The sequence below is a fragment of the Homo sapiens genome, chromosome 20 (assembly GCF_000001405.40).
Source record: "Homo sapiens chromosome 20, GRCh38.p14 Primary Assembly".
NCBI classification, from domain to species: domain Eukaryota; kingdom Metazoa; phylum Chordata; class Mammalia; order Primates; family Hominidae; genus Homo; species Homo sapiens.
The window spans coordinates 2,670,026-2,692,623 of NC_000020.11; the positions used below are offsets into that span (position 1 = coordinate 2,670,026).

The 22,598-nt window shown below is 47.7% G+C and overlaps 1 long non-coding RNA gene across 3 annotated transcripts; it reads right to left on the reverse strand.

Annotated features, from left to right (window-relative positions):
* Positions 1–251: 251 nt before the first annotated feature.
* Positions 252–22,595, reverse strand: LOC105372507 (uncharacterized). Of its 3 annotated transcripts, none has more exons than XR_937210.3 (3): positions 22,041–22,595; positions 21,315–21,439; positions 252–415 (listed from the first exon to the last, which is right to left on the reverse strand). It is a non-coding gene; the product is annotated as an uncharacterized LOC105372507 (long non-coding RNA). The 3 variants fall into 3 exon arrangements; XR_937211.3 differs by lacking the exon at positions 252–415 and adding an exon at positions 422–558; XR_937209.3 differs by lacking the exon at positions 252–415 and having other exon boundaries at positions 19,842–21,439.
* Between the last annotated feature and the right edge of the window lie 3 nt (positions 22,596–22,598).

Consider the following 22,598-nt stretch of genomic DNA (forward strand, 5'->3'; position numbering starts at 1 on the left):
AAAAAAAAAAAAAAAAGGAAAAAAAAGCTCGTGTATTTTACAAAAGTTTTACGGATTCGTGTTGGGCTGCATTCAAAGCCGTCCTGGGCCGTGGGTTGGACAAGTTTACTGTACATCTTTCTTTGTACACACGATGAATGTCACAAAGAGCTCACAAAGCACCTGTACCATGTGTATGTTTCAGTTATGAATATGTTCTGCAATAAACAGAAAACTCATTAAACAAATATGGGTTGTTTTTCCCCCCTCACCTCTGAAGGTAAGGAGTTACTGAGAATGGTTTAGCGGCTTGGTGATGCCCCAGGGATCCAGGCTGTCTTCCCTTCTGCTCTGCCAGCCTTAGTGTGTTGTCTGATGTCCTCATCCTTGGTGCTTCATAGTCACAATATGACTGCTGTTGCTCTGGACATCACTTCTGCATTCAGAGATGGAAAAGAAGAAATAACAGTCCCAGCCACAACCACTTCTTCTTATCAGAAATGTAAAAACATTCCCAGAAGGTTTCTTAGGACTCACAGGCCAGAACCAAATCCATGACCGCTCCTACTGCAAGGAAGTCTAGGAAAGAGAGGAATAGATTTGCCTGATTGGCTTAAACGAATACTTCACATCCTAGCTGCACATTACAATCACCTGGGAGCTCTAAAAAATACCTATCTGGGCTTCACCTCCAGAGGTTTTGATATAATTGGTCTGGGATGGGGCCTATTCACTGCTGTTTTGAAAAGCTCCATGGATGACTCTAAAAACTGACCAGAGTTGAGAACCACTGGGTTCCACCAATCATGATCCTTCATCTAGGGCTGGGCAGGTGTATAAGTGAGGATTATATTCAGTTGCAAGTGACAACATACAACATACCAAGCCTAAACAAGAGAGGAGTTTATTTATTGCTCACATAAAAGTTCAGCAGGCTGAGTGCAGTGGCTCATTTTTGTAATCTCAGAACTTTGGGAGGCTGAGGCAAGAGGAAGCCAGGAGGTCAAGACCAACCTGGGCAACATAATGAACCCTCTACCTCTACAAAAATTAAAAAAAAAAAATTCAGTGATCAATGGTCCAGGGCTGGAAGGGCCTGCATGGTGTCAAGGCACAGACTCATGATCTTGCTGGCCCACCTCCCATGGCCTTCATTCCCAAGGTCATTCAAGATCCAAGATGGTTATTCCAGCTCCAGCATTCCAATGGCAGGAAGAAGGACAGAGAAATAGAAGAGCAGAGGCCCACAGACCTTTACTGGCACTTCCCAGAAGTTGCACACACCATTTCTGCTTACCTCCCATGTGAAACAGAAGTGTGCTGGTCCTTTCCTTCTAGGCTCTAAATTGTTTCACAAGACTTCGTCTACCTCAAGATGATAAGCATATTCTCCAATATTTTGTCTAATGCTCTCCTAGTGTGGTGTATTTATGTGGTTTCAGTGATTAGTTTATCTGAAGTTTAGTTTTACAAAAGATAAATGATAAAGCCCTAACTTTATGATTTTTCCAAGGCTAATTGCCCAGTATCATTCATTATTTTTTCTTCCAGATAAGTAATTCTACCAAAGTATTCTGTCAAATACCAAATTCCCACATATATATTAGGTCAAGCCAAGTGAAACTGCTGATACCTATCACCTTGACCCAGCTTTATTTTCTCAATTATACCAGTTACTACGAGACATCATATTATGCATTTCTGCTTTTTTTTTTCTTTTGAGACAGAGTCTCACTCTGTCGCCCAGGCTGGAGTGCAGTGGCACGATCTCAGCTCACTGCAACCTCTGCCTCCCAGGTTCAAGCAATTCTCCTGCCTCAGCCTCCCAAGTAGCTGGGATTATGGGCATGCACCACCACACCTGGCTAATTTTTGTATTTTTAGTAGAGATGAAGTTTCACCATGTTGGCCAGGCTGGTCTTGAACTCCTGACCTCAAGTGATCCACCCACCTCAGCCTCCCAAAGTGCTAGGATTACAGTCATGAGCCATCACGTCCAGTCTGTATTTATTCTTAAAGTATATTATTGCTTGTGTTTGCAGGGAGCAACCTTGAGGAATGAGGAACTATCTTCCTAAAGAGCAGGCTTGCTTATTCCCTGCTGTGAAAGGGGTGGGTTCCCCAAGCTCAGTGTTCCCCTAGATGCCACACAAACCCACAGCATCCACCAGGGCCCTCCACATTGCCCCCTGGAGGACAAGGGGACAGGGGGACGAGGGAGTCAATATAAACATGCTGCCTAGGCTGCTTGCTGTGCCTTAATAAAGTCCTTTGTCTCTGACTCGGGAGTCTCATCTTTGCCAGCATGCATGAAACAGTAAGAGGCGAATTATTCACACATCAGCAGGGAAAATTCAAATGCCAGGCCCTGACAGTTTTGGCAATGAGGACAGGCTGCTGATAAACATGACTTTCTGGAAGAGGAAGGATAAGGACCTTATGGACCAGATTAGGGGATATGAAAAGACTCCTTGGCATATGTTAGTGGATCCTCTCACCCAAATGGTGGGTGGCAGGGGTAGGGTGGATAGGATAAGGAGCTCACACTGTCCTACCTTAATGAGTTTAAGCAACGAGAGGTAGGGTTGAAACAAGCCACTCAAACGGTGCTTCGTTTCTTGCTCAGGAGGAGGAAGGGATGTTATGACAAGGGGGCAGCAAGCCCCACAGCTGCACTCAAAAGGCAACATGGATGTGGCTGCTGAGTCAAAGAATCCCCAAAGCTGAAATACATGGTATCAGCCATCATGTTTGATACAGAGCTTCACAGTGACCCCAAAACACTACAAGGTATTTGGATAAGCCCCACAGGTGGCCACTGGAAGCCTTGCTCACTGGCACAGGCTCGCTCTCTCCCCTGTGTTCCCCAATCCCTCTATTCCCGCTCTACTCCACCTCCGGCTGCTTTTATTTAATTTATTAATTTATTTATTGAGATAGGGTCTTGCTCTGTCACCCAGGCTGGAGTGCAGTGGCATGATCACGGCTCATTGCAGCCTCGACCTTTTGAGCTCAGGTGATCCTCCCACTTCAGCCTCGCTAATAGCTGGAACCACAGGTGCACACCACCACACCTGGCTTATTTTTTGTAGAGCCGGGGTTTCGCCATGTTGCTCAGGCTGGTCTTGAACTCCTGGGCTCCAGCGATCCACCTGCCTTGGCCTCCCAAAGTGCTGGGATTACAGGCGTGAGCCACCGTGTCTGGCTCAGCTGTTGTAATGAAAAAGTTGAGTATGCTGGGGAACTTCACGGAGGCAAAGTCCTCAAAACTTGTATATCTCTGTTGGGCCCAAGTGCCCAATTCACCATCTTACCTAGTTCCGTGGATGGGTGCAGAGATGGCTGAAGGCACCACCCCAGGACTGCAGTGTGGACTGGGGACAAAATGAAAGGGGCCTCGGGGCTTGGGAACTCTCTGGATGGACACTGGAGCTACACAGAGGAAGCAGCAGCAATGCCAACCCTGAAGCCAGGGGCCAAGGAGAAATAAAAGCCTCCTAGCTGCACCCTGTGAGCTAGCCTGAGCTCCCGGCAGCTGTTGCTTTTGCTCCTGATGTGCACACACTAAACACCTTGGTTTGTTTTCCCAGAAGGTAAAAAATCCCCCAAGTTCAACTGATAGGCTTTGAGCAAAGTTTGCAGTGGAAGAAGGCAAATTAAGTAACGCTCCATGTGGGGCCCTTGGGCCAATTCAGTGGCTTTCACTGCAAATGTATTACTGGTATTGATGCTCATACCGGCCTGTACTGCCAATGCCCATAAGTGTCAGATGGGATTCGCCCTTTCAGAGACTGCCACATGTGGAAAGGTGGTTTCTGAACCCTCTTAGATGGTCCAGGAGAAACAGTTTAGACTTTCAAGAGGGAGGCCAGGTGCAGTGGCTCATGCCTGTAATCCCAGCATTTTGGGAGGCTGAGGCTGGGAGATGACGAGGTCAGGTGTTTGAGACCAGCCTGGCCAACATGGTGAAACCTGGTCTCTACTAAAAATACAAAAAGTAGCCGGCCGTGGTGGCGGGCGCCTGTGATCCCAGCTACTCAGGAGGCTGAGGTAGAAGAATCGCTTCAACCCAGGAGGAAGAGGTTGTAGTGAGCCGAGATCGTGCCACTGCATTCCAGCCTGGGCGACAGAGCAAGACTCCATCTGAAAAAAAAAAAAAAAAAATCAGGAAGGAAAAGGGAAATCTGAAAATTAGTCTCAAAGGTGGCCAGATTACTCAGAGGCTGTTCTCAAGCACAATAGCACCACCTGCCTGACACACTCACCAAGCACATAGCTTTAAAAAAATTGTTTAGAGGCCAGGTGCAGTGGCTCACGCCTGTAATCCCAGCACTTTGGGAGGCCGAGGCAGGTGGTTCACCTGAGGTCAGGAGTTCAAGACCAGCCTGACCAATATGGTGAAACCCTGTCTCTACTAAAAATACAAAAATTAGCCGGGCATGATGGCATGCGCCTGTAGTCTCAGCTACTCCGGAGGCTGAGATAGGAGAATTGCTTGAGCCCAGGAGGCGGAGGTTGTGGTGAGCTGAGATCACGTCACTGCGTTCCAGCCTGGGTGACAGCGAGACTCGGCCTAAAAAAAAAAAAATTGTTTAGAGAGTGGTTGCTGATCTGTCACCCAGGCTAGAGTGCAGTGACACCATCAGAGCCCCCTGCAGTCTTGAATTCCTGGGCTCAAGCCATCCTCTCACCTCACTGTCCTGAGCAGCTGGAACGACAACTGTGAGCTACCATGCCCGGCTAATTTTACAAAATTTTTCATAGACGTGGTCTCTCAGGCTGGTCTTAAACTCCTTGCCCTCAGGTGATCCTTCCATCCCACCACACCTGGCCCCATCCCTCCCCCATCCCCCTTTTTTGTTTGAGACAGTCTCTCTCTGTCGCCCAGGCTGGAATGCAGTGGCACAATCACAGCTCATTGCAGCCTGGAACTCCTGGGCTCAAGCAATCCTCCCCACTCAGCCTCCTGAGTAGCTTGGTGCCTGCCACCACGTACCATGCCAGCTAATTTTAAAAATACATTTTTGTAGAGATGAGATCTTGCTTTGTTCCCAAGGCTGGTCTTGAACTCCTGGCTTCAAGTGATCCTCCCTCCATAATCCCAAAGCCCTGGGACTACAGGCCTGAGCCACCACATCCGGCCCCATCCCCTCTTTTTTATTTTATTTTATTTTATTTTATTTTATTTTATTTTATTTTACTTTATTTTATTAAGACAGAGTCTTGCTCTGTCTCCCCGGCTGCCAGGCTGGAGTGCAGTGGCATGATCTCAGCTCACTGCAACCTCCACCTCCCAGGTTCAAGCTATTCTCCTGCCTCAGCTTCCCGAGTAACTGGGACTACAGGCATGCGCAACCACACCTGGCTTTTTTGTTTGGTGGTTGTTTTTAAGTAGAGACAGAGTTTCACCATGTTGGCCAGGCTGATCTTGAACTCCTGACCTCAAGCGACCTGCCCTCCTCGGCCTCTCAAAGTGCTGGGATTACAGGCATGAAACACCATGCCAGGCCCCCATCCCCTTTTTAAAAAGGTGCCCACTAACTTGTTACTGACCCAAAAAGTTCCTGTGACTCTCCAAACTGACACTCCCATTTTGGGATGGGTCAACTTGGATTTGGTGGCTACTAAGGGAGGGGCACAAAAGGCATTATTAATCCAATGGAAATACTGTATTCAGTAACACAGCTGGCCTGGTCCTAATATTAGCTGGGTTTTACATGAAAAAGTGGCAGCAAAAATCCCTTCAGGGGAAATCTTTTCCTAACTTCACCACTTGAAGCAAAGCTGCTGGCTCAATGGGGCCCTCAAGTCACAGAGGGTTCCCTAGGCACCTGGCCTGGTACAATGATGGTTTGGCTAGGCTGACACCTTATAGTGTCCACGTTCAACCTCAGCACCAGCTATGCAGAACCAAAAACAGGCATGGGCTGGGCGTGGTGGCTCACGCCTGTAATCCCAGCACTTTGGGAGGCCGAGGCGGGTGGATCACTTGAGGTCAGGAGTTCCAGATCAGCCTGGTCAACGTGGTGAAACCCCGTCTCTACTAAAAATACAAAAATTAGCCGGGCGTGGTGGCGTGCATCTGTAATCCCAGCTACTTGGGAGGCTAGGGGAAGAGAATTGCTTGAACTCAGGAGGCGGAGGTTGCAGTGAGCCGAGATCGCGCCATTGCACTCCAGTCTAGGCAACAGAGCGAGACTCCATCTCAAATTTAAAAAAATAATAATAAATAATAATTTTTTAAAAAAAGCAAGCATGACTGCTCCACTCAATGGACAGAGCTCAAGGGAGTGCTGATAGTTCTGGCCAATACTCCCCGTGATGAACCCTTCTACATTTTTACTGCCTTTTGTGTGGTTGCCAATGGCCTAGCTATCTTGCCCACAAGACTGGAAGATTAAAGACATTCCCTATTGCAGCTGCATATTGTGGAAATAATTTCAGCTGCCAATCAGATGCCCAAGTTACTCACAGAGATGCCCATGGTAAGGGCCCTTCTCTAATGAGACAAACTGTAGTCAAGCTGCTGATCCAGACTTCACTGCCCATACCACCACCATCACCACCTAGATCCGTCATCGAACAAGACATAACAACACATTCACCATCGTGGACTGAGCACAAAATCAAAAACTGTTTCAGGCCAGGCGCAGTGACTCACACCTGTAATCCTAGTACTTTGGGAGGCCAAGGCAGGCGGATCACTTGACGTCAGGAGTTTGAGACCAGCCCGGCCAACATGGTGAAACCCCATCTCTACTAAAACTACAAAAAGTAGCCAGGTGTGGTGGCAGGCGCCTGTAATCCCACCTACTTGGGAGGCTGAGGCAGGAGATTCGCTTGAACCTGGGGGGCAGAAGTTGCAGTGAGCCGAGATCGCATCACTGCACAGTGAGACTCTGTCTCAAAAAACAATAACAACAACAACAAAACAACTATGTGTTTCTGATGCAGAAGACACCACTACATACCAGAGCTGTGGTGCCTCCCAAAATTTGAGCCATTTGTCTTGCAGGGAAGGAGGCCGCATTGCACACAGAGTATTGCCCCCAGTTGCTCCTGGATGATTGTCCAGATATCAGATAGCTGACCCCCTCCCCAGGCTGTGTCATTGGTGCCTCACTTCTGTCAGAACGTTTTCAGGTTACAATGTTGCTGTTCTTGTCTGTTCTAGTCTGAATAGAGTCTGGGGCCCCAGTCACACTATTTTGGCCCCTGAAACTAAGTCATGTCAAGTTTTTGGATTCTCAGACCACCTACAGTCTGACAGTGATGCACCTTTTATTGCAAAAGCCGCCCAACAATGGGCCAGTAGTCAAAGTATTCGATGGACATGCTAGGCTCCCTACCATCTGCTAGTATCTGGTATTATTGAGCACTGGAATGGCCTCCTCCAAAGCTTCTGACTACCTCCATCAACTCCTTCTGGGCCACATACTTCAGCGAGGCAGTATGATCACTGAATGCAGCTATCTCCAAAGATCATCTCCTTTCAGCCACTTCCTGGGTACTGATCAGGATGAAAACAGGTGGAGGGTTATATAGATCTATTCTGAAAAGTTGGGAGCATGGTGCTTCTTTTTTCTTTCCTCTCCCACCCCTAACCCAACAGCAACCCCACACCAGCCTGCTTGGTGCACCCTCCAGGTGTCAGCCCGGCAAAAGGGGACTTAGGGGATTCAAACTTATCTCTAATTCTGGTTTAGCCACTTGGATTCTCTTGACAGATTAACCTGATCCCAGATCAGTGTACTCATTGAATACAATTGCTTGCCAAATTGAGTACACTGGTTGAGTACATTCCTTGCCAAGTTCTCTCACACTGGCTCATATAGGCCAAGGTGCGAGATACAATGGATGTCTGTAAATTTTGTAAAAATGTCCTTGTCTCACTCACGCCTCGCTCTAGCAGACAAAAGGTCTGGGTATGAGTAGGGAAAGATCGGAGAAATGATGAAGTTATGGCTACTGGAATGAGATATGCTGCTTTCATAGCCAGGAAGCCTGCGAGAAGACACCTTAGATGCCAGCAGGTGCAAACAGTGGAGAATGATCAATGTGCTCTTTGTCCCCTAGATCCAGCATTGAAACCTAGAAAAACCATCATCTCGTTCATCTGAGTTGAGCAGCAGCTGCAGCTGACAGTCTTACCCTTTCTGGATTTATCATGCTGCCTGCATGCTATGAAAACAGGGGAATTCATAAGGAGGTGGCCAGTCCTGGCTATTCAGTTGTGGCCTTTGCCAGCCATCAATGGCAGCTCCCAAATATGGAACCTCCCCTTACCCCATACATGCACAAACACACCATCCAGCACAACCTTGTTTGTCTGATTGGTACAAACACAGGCACTTTTCCTGTCACCCACGTGGCTTTGGTTCATGTATGGTGTCTGAGGATGCAAGCGTTAGGTGACACCATCCATGTGGCTAAACCAAACCAGTGTAATGATAATCCAAATCAGAATCAACAACAAATTCTGAATTCAAGTAACACGTAACCTGTTGGGTGTATGTTTGTATGTGGGCCATGTGATGTCTCTCCATTAGGGATGAGGGTTGCTTTTGGCCCATCTATCACTTCATATAATTACTGGCGATGACATTGAGGACCAGTAGATTAGTCTAGAACTCACTTATGCAGGTTGTAATGGATAATGACCTGGCCTTAGACTGTATCCTGGCCTACTAAGGCCTACTGATCCCCTTGAGACTTATTCACAGGTGACTGAGTCTGAGACGCCGGGTGGCATTGTTGAAGCCAATACTGTTGGTTGGCCTCATCTTGCTTGAGGTTCTATTGGTAGTAAATTCTGTATGAGACAAATTGAGCAAATTTGGTCCCAGTCTAGGGTGATCAGATTGATTGGAGTGGCAGATGGAGTGGTATACTCATGGGAATATTCCACTTTGGCCAAGAATGTGTAAGGTCAATTATTGGGAGAGGAAAGCTGTCAGAGGCCCTGAACGTCCCAGCACATTTTTACTGAGTATGCCAAGACTACAAGGCCCTGACCCCTCTTTCCTGGGCTGTTTCTCAGGGTCGTGCATTGCAGTAAGCCACCTTGAGGAATGAGGTTAATATCTCTCTCCAGGACAAAGAGCAGACTTGCTTACTGCTGTCTATGAAAGAGGGGGTTCCCCAGGCTCAATGTTCCTCACGTGGGGCACAAACCCAGTGCATGCACAGAATCCATAAGGCTCCTTCCCATTTTCCTTGTGGAACTTAGGGAACAAGGGGAGCTGATACAAACAGGGTGCTTTTGCTACTTGCTATGCTGTGTTAATATGCTTTGCTTTGTCTCTAATCTAGGAATCTCCTGTCTTCTGCCAGCATTCATGAAACAGTAACAAAGTAACTTATCTTGAAAGGAGGGCAAAATACAATCCAAGATATTTATATGTAGCAAAGTGAAAGAGAATAAACAGTAACTGCTAGAGAATGCCTTAGGCAAAAAGGCATCCTTGGATGTTGTCTTAGTTGGCTCAGGTTACCATCACAAAACGCCATAGACTGGGTGGCTTCAACAACAGAAATTTATTTTCTCAGAGTTCTGGAGGCTGGGAAGTCGCAGATCAAGGTACCAGTTGATTTGGGTCCTGGTGAGGGCTGTCTTCCTGGCTTGCACATGGTCACTTTCTCATTGTGTCCTCACATAGTGGAGATTGAGAGTTTTAGTGTCCCTTCCTCTTCACATAAGGGCACTAGACCTATCGGATAGGGATCCACCCTTATGACCTTTATCATTTCAGCCTTTATCACCTCCTCATAGCCTTTTTTTTTTTTTTTTTTTTTTTTTTTTTTTTTTTTGAGACAGTCTCGCTCTGTCACCAGGCTGGAGTGCAGTGGCGTGATCTCGGCTCACTGCAACCTCCGCCTCCCAGGTTCAAGTGATTCTCCTGCCTCAGCCTCCTAAGTAGCTGGGACTACAGGTGCCCGCCACCACGCCCGGCTAATTTTTTGTATTTATAGTAGAGACAGGGTTTCACTGTGTTAGCCAGGATGGTCTCAATCTCCTGGCCTCATGATCTGCCCGCCTCAGCCTCCCAAAGTGTTGGGATTATAGGTGTAAGCCACCACGCCCGGCCTCCTCATAGCCTTTATCTCCAAATACAGTTAATTAGGGGGTTAGGATTTCAACATATGCATTTAAGGGAGACAAACATTCATTCCATAACAGGTGTCATTCAGGTTTCAGTTAAGGCTGGTGGTGAGAGAAAGTTTTAAAAGAAATGTTGAAAATATGAGGAAGTTGGTTAATTTTGCAGAGGGGATTCTTTTTTTTTTTTTTTTTTGACCTCAACCTCCCGAGTAGCTGGGACTGCAGGCATGTATCACCAGGCCTGGCTAATTTGTTGGAGCAACAGAGTTTCACCATTTGGCCAGGCTGGTCTAAAACTCCTGAGCTCAAGCGATTTGCCTGCCTTGGCCTCCAGAAGTGCTTGCATCTGTAAGCCACTGCCTTACAGATGGGATTCTGAAGGGCATGGCAGATGTTGGAGGTGAAGTGGTAGAGGATAGGTCAGGGCCAAGGAGAAATAGAGCATTATGGGACTGAGTATGTGGCCAGTGGGATCCACAGTTTCAGAGTTGAGAGACAAAAGCAGGCATGAGAAGCATAAAAAAGTTTTAATAAGTTAGAACTGGCTGGGCGCGGTGGCTCACGCCTGTAATCCCAGCACTTTGGGAGGCCGAGGCGGGTGGATCACGAGGTCAGGAGATCGAGACCATCCTGGCTAACATGGTGAAACCCCGTCCCTCCTAAAAATACAAAAATTAGCCAGACATTGTGGCGGGCGCCTGTAGTCCCACTTACTCAGGAGGCTGAGAGAGGAGACTGCCGTGAACCTGGGAGGCGGAGCTTGCAGTGAGCTGAGTTCGCGCCACTGCACTCCAGCCTGGGCGACAGAGCGAGACTCCATCTCAACAACAACAACAACAAAAAAAGTTAAAACTATTGAAAGTTTGTGCTAGGAATACTACCTAGGAATGAAAACAAATGAATTACACTCTTATACACAACAACGTGGATAAATCTCACAGGTAATGATGAGTGAAAGCCAGATATTTAAAAACTACATAATGCATGATGTCATTTACATGAACTTCAAGAATGAGAAAAACTAGTTTATGGTGCAAGGAATCAGGAGGGGGTTACCTCTTGAGCGGCAAGTGTTCACTGGGAGTAGGCACCAGAGAGGATTTGGGGATGTTGAAAATGCCCTGTATCTTAATCTGAATGGTTGGTTATATGGGTGTATATGTGTGTAAAAATTTACCAACATGCGCATGTAATATCTGGGTACTTTGCTGTCAATTATGTCATAATTTTAAAAAGGCAAATAATTTTTTAATTAAAAACAAAGATGGATATTGGGCCAAAGTGATCATCCACATACATCTTGCCCACATAAAATGATCTTACCAGCAAAAAGAACAGCTGGGCTGGCTGCAATGGCTCATGCCTATAATCTCAGCACTTTGGGAGGCCAGCGCAGGGGGATTATTTGAGCCCACGAGCTTGAAACCAACTTGGGCAACTTGGCAAGACCCTGTCACTACAAAAAAAACTGTTTTGTTTTTTTTTCGAGATGGAGTTTTGCTCTTGTTGCCTAGGCTGGAGCAGAATTATGCGATCTTGGTTCACTGCAACCTCCGCCTCCCAGGTTCAAGTGATTCTCCTGCCTCGGCCTCCCAAGTAGCTGGGATTACAGGTGCCCACCACCACCCCAGGTAATTTTTTTGTATTTTTAAAGACAGGGTTTCACCATGTTGGCCAGGCTGGTCTTGAACTCCTCACCTCAGAGGATCCACCTGCTTCGGCTTCCCAAAGTGCTGGGATTACAGGCATGAGCCACCGCTCCTGGCCTATAAAAATTTTTTTAGAAAATCAGCCAGGTGTGATGGTACACCCCTGTAGTCCAAGCTACTCAGGAGGCTGAGGCAGGAGGATCGCTTGAGCCCAGAGGTCCAGGCTGCAGTGAGCCAAAATCGAGCCACTGCACTCCAGTCTGGGCAAACAGAGTGAGACTCTGCATTTGAAAAAAAAAAAAGGAAGAAAGAAGGGAGAAGAAGGGAGAAGGAGAAGGAGAAGAAGAAGAAAGAAGAAGAGAGGGGAAGAAGGGGACGAAGGGGAAGAAGCGGATGAAGGGGAAGAAGGGGAAGAAGGAGAAGAAGGGGAAGAAGAAGGGGAAGAAAAGAAGAAGAAGAAGAGGAAGAGGAAGAAGAAGAAGAGGAAGAAGAAGAGGAAGAAGAAGAGGAAGAAGAAGAGGAAGAAGAGGAAGAAGAAGAGGAAGAAGAGGAAGAAGAAGAAGAAGAAGAAGAAGAAGAAGAAGAAGAAGAAGAAGAAGAAGAAGAAGAAGAGGAAGAGGAAGAAGACAGAATTTCCCATATACAGCTTGGCACAGAATATGGGAGTCCGTCATCCAACATTTTGTTCAAATAAAGTAAGACCCTAGTCCTTGAGACCCACACAGGAGTGTGCTGGAATCGGATTGCTCAGGCTCTGAAGAGGCTATGGTGTGTCTCTCCTAACATGTTCAGTGATATCACATTAGTAGTTTGAAATCAGCCATGGTAGGAATGTGTAGTCACCACAAATTCAGCAAATGCTACAAAGCAAGTTTATTTTTTAAGAGGAGGCTGTTACCAGTATCACGCTGTTTTGGTTACTGTAGCCTTGTAGTATAGTTTGAAGTCAGGTAGCGTGATGCCTCCAGCTTTGTTCTTTTGGCTTAAGATTGACTTGGCAATGCAGGCTCTTTTTTGGTTCCATATGAACTTTAAAGTAGTTTTTTCCAATTCTGTGAAGAAAGTCATTGGTAGCTTGATGGGGATGGCATTGAATCTATAAATTACCTTGGGCAGTATGGCCATTTTCACGATATTGATTCTTCCTATCCATGAGCATGGAATGTTCTTCCATTTGTTTGTATCCTCTTTTATTTCGTTGAGCAGTGGTTTGTAGTTCTCCTTGAAGAGGTCATTCACATCTCTTGTAAGTTGGATTCCTAGGTATTTTATTCTCTTTGAAGCAGTAGTGAATGGGAGTTCACTCATGATTTGGCTCTGTTTGTCTCTTATTGGTGCATAAGAATGCTTGTGATTTTTGCACATTGATTTTGTATCCTGAGACTTTGCTGAAGTTGCTTATCAGCTTAAGGAGATTTTGGGCTGAGACGATGGGGTTTTCTAGATATACAATCATGTCATCTGCAAACAGGGACAATTTGACTTCCTCTTTTCCTAATTGAATACCGTTTATTTCCTTCTCCTGCCTGATTGCCCTGGCCAGAACTTCCAATACTATGTTGAATAGGAGTGGTGAGAGAGGGCATCCCTGTCTTGTGCCAGTTTTCAGAGGGAATGCTTCCAGTTTTTGTCCATTCAGTATGATATTGGCTGTGGGTTTGTCATAAATAGCTCATTATTTTGAGATACGTCCCATCAATACCTAATTTATTGAGAGTTTTTAGCATGAAGAGTTGTTGAATTTTGTCAAAAGCCTTTTCTGCATCTATTCAGATAATCATGTGGTTTTGTCGTTGGTTCTGTTTATATGCTGGATTATGTTTATTGATTTGGTACCAAAACAGAGATATAGACCAATGGAACAGAACAGAGCCCTCAGAAATAATGCCACACATCTACAACTATCTGATCTTTGACAAACCTGACAAAAACAAGAAATGGGGAAAGGATTCCCTATTTAATAAATGGTGCTAGGAAAACTGGCTAGCCATAGGTAGAAAGCTGAAACTGGACCCCTTCCTTATACCTTATACAAAAATTAATTTAAGATGGATTAAAGACTTAAATGTTAGACCTAAAACCATAAAAACCCTAGAAGAAAACCTAGGCAATACCATTCAGGACATAGGCATGGGCAAGGACTTCATGTCTAAAACATCAAAAGCAATGGCAACAAAAGCCAAAATTGACAACTGGGATCTAATTAAACTAAAGAGCTTCTGCACAGCAAAAGAAACTACCATCAGAGTGAACAGGCAACCTACAGAATGGGAGAAGATTTTTGCAATCTACTCATCTGACAAAGGGCTAATATCCAGAATCTACAAAGAACTCCAACAAATTTACAAGAAAAAAACAAACAACCCCATCAAAAAGTGGGCAAAGGATATGAACAGACACTTCTCAAAAGAAGACATTTATGCAGCCAACAGACACATGAAAAAATGCCCATCATCACTGGTCATTAGAGAAATGCAAATCAAAACCACAATGAGATACTATCTCACACCAGTTAGAATGGCAATCATTAAAAAGTCAGGAAACAACAGATGCTGGAGAGGATGTGGAGAAATAGGAACACTTTTACACTGTTGGTGGGACTGTCAACTAGTTCGACCATTGTGGAAGTCAGTGTGGCAATTCCTCAGGGATCTAGAACTAGAAATACCATTTGACCCAGCAATTCTATTACTGGGTATATACCCAAAGGAATATAAATCATGCTGCTATAAAGACATATGCATGGGTATGTTTATTGCGGCACTATTCACAACAGCAAAGACTTGGAACCAACCCAAATGTCCAACAATGACAGACTGGATTAAGAAAATGTGGCATATATACACTATGGAATACTATGCAGCCATAAAAAAATGATGAGTTCATGTCCTTTGTAGGGACATGGATGAAGCTGGAAACCATCATTCTCAGCAAACTATCGCAAGGACAAAAAACCAAACACCACATGTTCTCACTCATAGGTGGAAATTGAACAATGAGAACACATGGACACAGGAAGGGGAACATCACACCCCGGGGCCTGTTGTGGGGTGGGGGGAGGGATAGCATTAGGAGATATACCTAATGTAAATGACAAGTTCATGGGTGCAGCACACCAACATGGCACATGTATACATATGTAACAAACCTGCACGTTGTGCACATGTACCCTAGAACTTAAAGTATAATAAAAAAAAAAAAAAGAGGAAGCTGTTAACCACTTACGGTTGCATCACTTGGCCACCAGCACCTCAGGCTTATCCATGAAGTAACTACAGCTGAGAATAAGTCAGTAACTTGCCTACTGAGTTCAGGTCTCCAGACCCCAAGTCCGGTGTTCTTTCCACCACATGGCACATTCCAAGGACCTCGCTCCCCCAGGCCAAGCAGCCATTGAAGGTTAAGGAAAGAGAGAGCTTAAGACCTCTCTCCCCAACACCAGGAATAGGCCTGGGTGACACAGCAGAGTAGGGATAGGTGACAAGGGATAGGTGTGGGGGGCTCTTTTTATTTTTATTTTTTAAGACAGAGTCTCGCTCTGTCACCCAGGCTATAGTGCAGTGGCGCAATATGGGCTCACTGCAACTTTCACTTCCCAGGTTCAAGCAATTCTCCTGCCTCAGCCTCCTGAGTAGCTGGAACTACAGGTGCGTGCCACCACACCCAGCTAATTTTTTGTATTTTTAGTAGAAACAGGGTTTCACCATGTTGGCCAGGCTGACCTCAGGTGATCCACCTGCCTTGGCCTCTCAAAGTGGTGGGATTACAGGCATGAGCTACCGCGCCCGGCTGGGAGCTCATCTCTTTGGGGCACCCTGTGGGACCCCACATAGGCAATCCATCATGAGTTTCTGACCTCTACCTCCCAGACAAGTATTCATCCACAAATATTTATCCTTCAAGGACTATTCACAGCACTATGGATACAGAAAAGAAGAAAAGAATCAAACATCTTCATCTGTAAGAGCTACAGGCCAGTAAATGATAGCACTTTTCTATTAAGAAACGCATCCCTCCCCACTGAACTTGTTTTAGTTTAGGTCTTCATTATCTCTTACCTGAACTGTTCCTACCCAACTCCAGGTCCCACCAGAAGATCTAGATTTTGGGAGACCTGAAGCTTATACAATTGGAGGAGTAACTCCTTAAGAAGAATACAAAATTATGAATACACAATTATATGTAACCATGTGAACCTGTCACGAGGAATATTCGAGGGTCCTTGGAAGGGGCCGGTGTAGATGAAAGCCTGAAGATTAAGCCTCATGGAGAATCAGCCTCTGCCAAGTCCTCTCCCCACTTCACCCGGGACAAGGGGAAAAATAGCTCCCTCCTGCCTACCCTATATTCCCCTCACCCCCTACCCCTACCGCACCCTGCTCTACCTCAAGGATAATAGTTTCCTTTCTTCTAGACCCCCACTCCCCCACCCTCCTCCTACCTCCCCAGCAATTTGGGTTTTTGTTTTTGTTTTTTGAGACAGTCTCATTCTGTTGCGCAGGCTGGAGTGCAGTGGCACGATTGGCTCACTGTAACAGCCTCTTCCTCCTGGGTTCAAGCACTTCTCATGCTTTTTTTTTTTTTAAATATTATGCTCTTGCTTTTTTGCTTTTAATGTAATAGTTTAAGTATAAATATTTGTCCCTAGTATCTATTTGGAAAATGAAATAAGCTGCTTAATGTCTCCAACAAAGACAGTTATATATCTTTCCCACTTCCACAGGAAAACCCAAGGTGCTGAACGCCCAGAATAGCAACCTTACACAGGTATAGTGTTCAAAAGTTTGTAAAATTGTTTTCCTCGTGTTTAATTTTATTTCACCTTCACAACTGTGTGCTATCATTCTCATTTGATGGGAAACTGAGGCTCAGTATAAGTTTACAAATCCAGTGAGTGGCAGAGATGGGATTCTGACTTAAGTTCAGCATTTTAGGAAACTCAAGGCAGGCGCGGTGGCTCATGCCTGTAATCCCAGCACTTTGGGAGGCCAGGGTGGGTGGATCGCCTGAGGTCAGAAGGTGGGGACCAGCCTGGCCAACATGGCGAAACCCCGTCTCTACTAAAAATACAAAAATTAGCCAGGCGTGGTGGCCCACTCCTATAATCCCAGCTACTCGGGAGGCTGAGGAAGGAGAATCACTTGAACCCGGGAGGTGGAGGTTGCAGTGACCCTAGCTCGTGCCACTGCACTCCAGCCTGCGCGACGGGAGCGAGACTCCATCTCAAAAAAAAAAAAAAAAAAGAGACTCAAACGTGATCTAGAATAAACGCACCTACTGCCAACCGGATGTTGGGTCAAGTGAGAATGAAGACAATGTAGCCATAGTACTGAAGTTCAATTTACGCCAGTGGCGAGACATTGATTTAAACCAAGTAACTTGAACTCAGGTTTGCTCCCCATGTACTTGGAATTTAACTGCGCTGAGCTTTTACTTATTTATTTCAAGTACTCTATAGTAGTTCTGAGCCCCTGCCTCCTGTGTTGCTGGGACTAGAGGCACATGCCACTGCACCCGGATAATTTTTGTTTTCTTTGTATTGTTTTTGTTTCATTTTGTTTGTTTTTTTCAGTAGAAGCGGGTTTTTGCCATGTTGGCTGGGCTGGTCTCGATCTCCTGGCCTCAAATGATCCACCCTCCTTGGCCTCCCAAAGTGCTGGGATTACAGGCGTGAGCCACCGCGCCTGGCCCTCCCCAACAATTTGAAAATGAATTTGATCTTGCCCCACCGGTAAATATATATATATATGTGTGTGTGTGTGTGTGTATATAATATTTCAAAATTGTTGCCATTGCCTATGAGTAGCTAAGGGGCAGCCGTCAGGGATAGTGTTGGGTGCTGCTGCAGTTTTAGGTTTGAGACTGCAGGGAACAGCCGTGCTCTGCAAAATAGCAGGGAGTGGGCATAGCTTGCTGCACTGGGAAAACGGTCCCCTTCCTCTTCCTCAATGGGCATTGAGACCGGGTGTCTTTGAAGTGGTTTGTGATTGGCAGGTGTGTGAACAACCAGGACCAATGATCCCAGAGCCTGGGGATAGGAGCTCGACTCTCCTGCCAAAGGGTCCACCACGATAGCTCCTATTGTTTTATTATTCAAGATTGAATAACTGGGCCTAGATGTGGGATGGAATGGATCCTAAGGCAAGACTAATACTTGTGGTGTGGGGTTTTCTTGAAGCAATTGAAGAGGCCTCAGGAATCAACAGCGAGGAAGGCCCAGAGCTGGCGCATACCTACCAGACCACCTTCTTGGATGGCCCTTGTCATTCTGGATTTCTTCATGGAACTATGAGAATTGCCATAATTAATGCGCGCTTTAGTTTTTGTATTCCTCCTTTCATTTTAATTACCATCGGGGATCTGACAGGAAGTGGATCCAAGTGCCGGCATCACACTCTGGGGCCTCCGGGGGGCGCTATGGCCCAACACACAGCGTGGCCAAGCGCGCCTCAGCCTAACTCACCACTTCCTATCTGTTTTATACGGTTTGCACCCGCTTAAGGCGGCGGAGGCGTGGGGGAGTTCTGCTGATGTAAAAAAAAAAAACATTGTTTTATGACTAGACCTACAGAAAAAATGTCCAAACTCCTTAGCATGGCATGTTAGGCACCAGCATGACCCTCCCGGTGCTGGGTGCTAAAACCTCCACCTTGAAGGAAGTGCAGCAAACCCATTCATTCCGCTCTGCTAGTCCTTACACAAGCTGCTCCCGGGCCCCTCCTCACCTTCAGGCTCAGGCCCTTTTTCTGTGCTTGTCCCAGGACTTGCTCCGCTTCTGTAACAGCCCAGGTCACTCCAGAGTGACATTGAGCATTCATGAGTCTCCTGCCACCTGACTGTGAGCTCATAAGGGCGCCACCTGGGTTTCATTATCTGCTCACTCTCTAGCACTGGCCACTCACAAAAAAGCCCTTCTCGTGGACATGAGCACAATGAAAGGGTAGAATGAGACCCAAGGCTCTGGCCTAAGGGTTTGTGGTGAGCCCCTGCCAGAAAAGAGTGGCATTCTCTGCAGGCGTGCACCACGCTTCCTCTGTCATCACCACCCCTGTAGCTCTCTGTGGCCACAGTTGGAGCACTTCGCCCCACCCCACCCACCAAATTCCTTTCTCATGGAGAAGATGCAGCAGTTGGAACGGGACAATATACAAAGGAACTAAGATAAATAATGCATGGCCGGCACAGTGGCTCACACCTATAATCCCAGCACTTTGGGAGGCCAAGGCATGAGGATCACTTGAGGCCAAGAGTTCGAGACCAGCCTGGGCAACATAGCAAGACCTCTGTCTCAAAAAAAAAAAATATATATTAGCCAGGCATGGTGGTGCACACCTGCAATCCCAGCTACTTGAGAGGCTAAGGAGGGAGGACTTGAGCCCAGGAGTTTGAGGATGCAGTGAGCTATTATCGCGCGACTGCACTCCAGCCTGGGTGACAGGGTGAGACCCTGACTCTAAAAAAATAAATAAATAAAAGGTTAAAAAATAAGATAACTAATGCAAAATAAAAGCGCACAGAGGGTTCCAAGAAACAACAGACTTTCACCTGGATCTAAAGCAGAGACACTCACCTCTGACCCCCAAGTGCTGCCCCAGAACTGCTCATTGACCTTCCTCCCTTCATCACCCCTTGGTTCAGCAGCTCTAACCCAGGAGCCCTTCTCTGGGGCTGCAGGCTCTGGGAAGCCTCAAACACCATCCTGGCTGGTTTTCTGTTCCATGTGGTTAGGATAGAACAGAAACCCACGCAAGTTGGGAGTCTGCCCCAGCTATGACTGAGCCTTAACTCAGTGCCACTTTCCTGGGCTGACTGATTCCACCTTCTGCGCAGGTTAATTCTGAGCATCTATCCCCCAATCTATCTTGGGGACAACCTTCCAGAATGAAAAGCACTCCAACCAAATCACTTCAACCATCACAAAAAGGAATGCTGCAAAGTGAGGGCATTCCGGCAGGAAGGGCCAGCCAGCATGAAGGCTGGAGCTGGGAGACAGGGAGCTGGGTTTGGGAAACGGTGTGATCTCCCATGCTGGATAAGCAAGAAACTCACACAGCAAGGGAGTGGAGGTAAGGCTGGCCGGCAAGAGAAATTGGATAGGGCATCAAAGGGCCTAGAATGTTCCCAAACTAAGGGCCTAAATGTTTATTTGAGAAGCCACAAAAGACATTTAAGTTTCTAAGCAGGCGATGGCCCAATCCAAGCAACACTTTTTAAAACTGTGGCAGGAGGATGGGGGTGTTTGGGGGTGAGCAGCTGGGGACGGGAGCTAAGGGAGGAGGCTGTGGGCAGAACTGGGAATTCCATATCTGCTCCAAGCCAGGGTGGAGTCCAGTGGAGGAAAAGTACGTTTTGCTGTTAGATATTCTCTGTGGGCACTGGGGTAGGGAGGAAAGGGAAGGGGGACCCGTTAAGACCAAACAAACAGGTAGCTGCAGGACAGGGAGAGAAAAGTATTGGAGATGATTCCCAAACTCCAAGCCTGGTGGGCAGCAGGAGGAGGTGCCCAGCACAGACACAGGGGAGTCAGGAAGAAGAGCTGGCTGGTGGAGAGTGAACCTGTGGAGACCAAGAAGCCCCATCCCAGCCTAGGGACAGAGCCTCTTGGGATAGGGACCCTCCCCGGAGGCAGGTGCTCCTCTCCTCTCTGAGGGCCAAGCCCAGCCCTGTCCTCACCCACTGATGTTCAGGACTGACAGAAGTGAGAGTCCCATATGGGGAGACCATTTCCTCAAAGATGTTCTCTGAGACTGTGGAGGAACGTGAATTCTGTGAGGGGAGAACAGAAGAAGAGCGCCAGGCACAGCAGCTTGAGGTGCTCAGAGGGCAGAGGAGAAAGACAGTGTGCTCTGGTCATCAGGGCAGTTTCCCAGGTGTGTGTAAATATATATACACCAGATATATATATTTCCCAGGTGTGTGTAAATACATACACATGCATATATATATGTGTATATATATATATATATATATATCTGGTCACCAGGGTGGTTTCCCGTGTGTGTGGGGTTGGGGGGTGGGGTAGCCCACTGCTGCCAGGAGGTCCCAGGCCCTGAAGCCCAAGAGAGACCACGGAGTCTGAGAGCAGAAGCAGGAAGGCAGGGCTGGAAGGGAGCCAGCACACAAGGGCCCCAGGAGTGGCTTGCTGGGGGCCAGTCAGGCATCCTTGGCAGAGCGTTCCTGTGAACGGTCTCAGACACAGGAGGGGCAGAAATTGAAGAAGGAGGCGAGGAGGAGGGGACAGTTCTTTTAAGAATGGGGAGATCTGAGCAGAGAAAAGAACATATTGAGACACAAACAGGAGATCGGTGGGGTAATCTCAGGAAAGGCAGAAGACAGGACTAAGCAAAAAGGTTCCACATCCATCTCCACAGTGGAAGACCGAGAGAAGAGAACGGGTGAAAAGACAGAAACGAGGAGGAGCATACGCCGCTGATGGTGCCAGCAGGGTTCTGCCAAGATTCCCTGAGTCCTCTCCACTGGGTAAGAGGAAGGGTGTCTGCTGGAAATGAGAGAGCCAGAGGTGGGTCTGAATGTTGGGGAGAGGAGTGGAGCAAGTGTGGAACAGCTCTGGGGGGGCTTCTCACATGTAATGTGTGTACAGGTCTTGGTAAATTGCAGGTTCCGATTCAGCAGGTCCCGGCAGGGCCTAAGAGTCTGGATTCCTCACCAGCTCCCAGGTGATGTCAATGCTGCTGGTCCGGGGACCACACTGTGAGAAGCAAGATTTAGAGAGGCAGATCAGGAGATGGAGAAAGAGACTGGCTTAAGAATTGTCTTAAGGAGAAACCCATGTTTGATAATCCCACCTAGGGTAAAAGCTGAGACCTGAAGGAGTCCTGGTGGGAATGGCAGCCCCCTGTGGGTGATGGGGAGAGGCATAGAGAGAAGGGGTGGTAAAGAGACCAGGAAAGGAGGTGAGAGGGCCTCTGTGATGGCAGGAGAACCAGCAGTGCCCCCAGGACGCCTCATCTGGGCCAATGTGTGACAGAACGCTAACTCACACTTGGAGGCCCCCCAGAAGAGGATGGGAGTGAGTTGGAGCAGGAAGGTGTTATTGCAGGGGTGTCTGAGCGTGAACATGGCAGGCAGGGCAGGTGGCCCCCATGCTGTTCTGCAGGAAAGTGCTGGACTCAGTCTGGGCTTGCTCGAAGCCTGGCCAGGACAACGTGGGGAGAGGGGCAGAAATGTCTCTGCCCCACGGTCAAGGGCCAGACGACTTCTGTGCCAGGAACTAATAAAAAAAAAGGAATGGGATCTGAGACGGGACGCGGCTGGGGAGAAACAGGAGGTGAGCTGGGCTCTGAGCCTACCTGTCCAACTCGCAATCAGAAATCAGGAGGTTCCTGAAAGGCACAGATGGAAACTGAAAATGCTTTAGGCTTAGGTAACCCAGCATCAGGAATCGGGATGGTTGGATGCAGGGACCTCGCCCAGCTTGTCTGGGGCCGCAGCCTACGGCAGGGACGTTTCAGTCCTTAGCTGGGGTGAAAGTGAGGTCAGGGTCGCCGGGGAAATGCGGGAGTACAGTCACGCGGGAGAAAGACGTCAAGAGCGAAAGCTCGGAGGCGTCAAAATGAGCAGCAAGTCCAGGCACAAGGCGTCGGGCGCGGAGAGTACGGCGGGTGCCGGGGGAGGGAGATGAGGCCGCGAAGACGCCGGGGCTTCGTCCGGCGGCGACGGGGAGGCCGCGGAGGTTCCCGAGCGCAGCGGGGCGCGCACCTCCCGCTCGGGCCGGGCTCCCTCGCCGCGCGGCCCCGGATCCTCCCTGCGCGGGTTTCCGTGGCCCCCGCCGGGCTCTTCCGTTCCCTCCCGCGGCCTCGACCAGGCCGCAGCCCCCAGCCCAGGCGACCGACTCGCCAGGGTCCGCC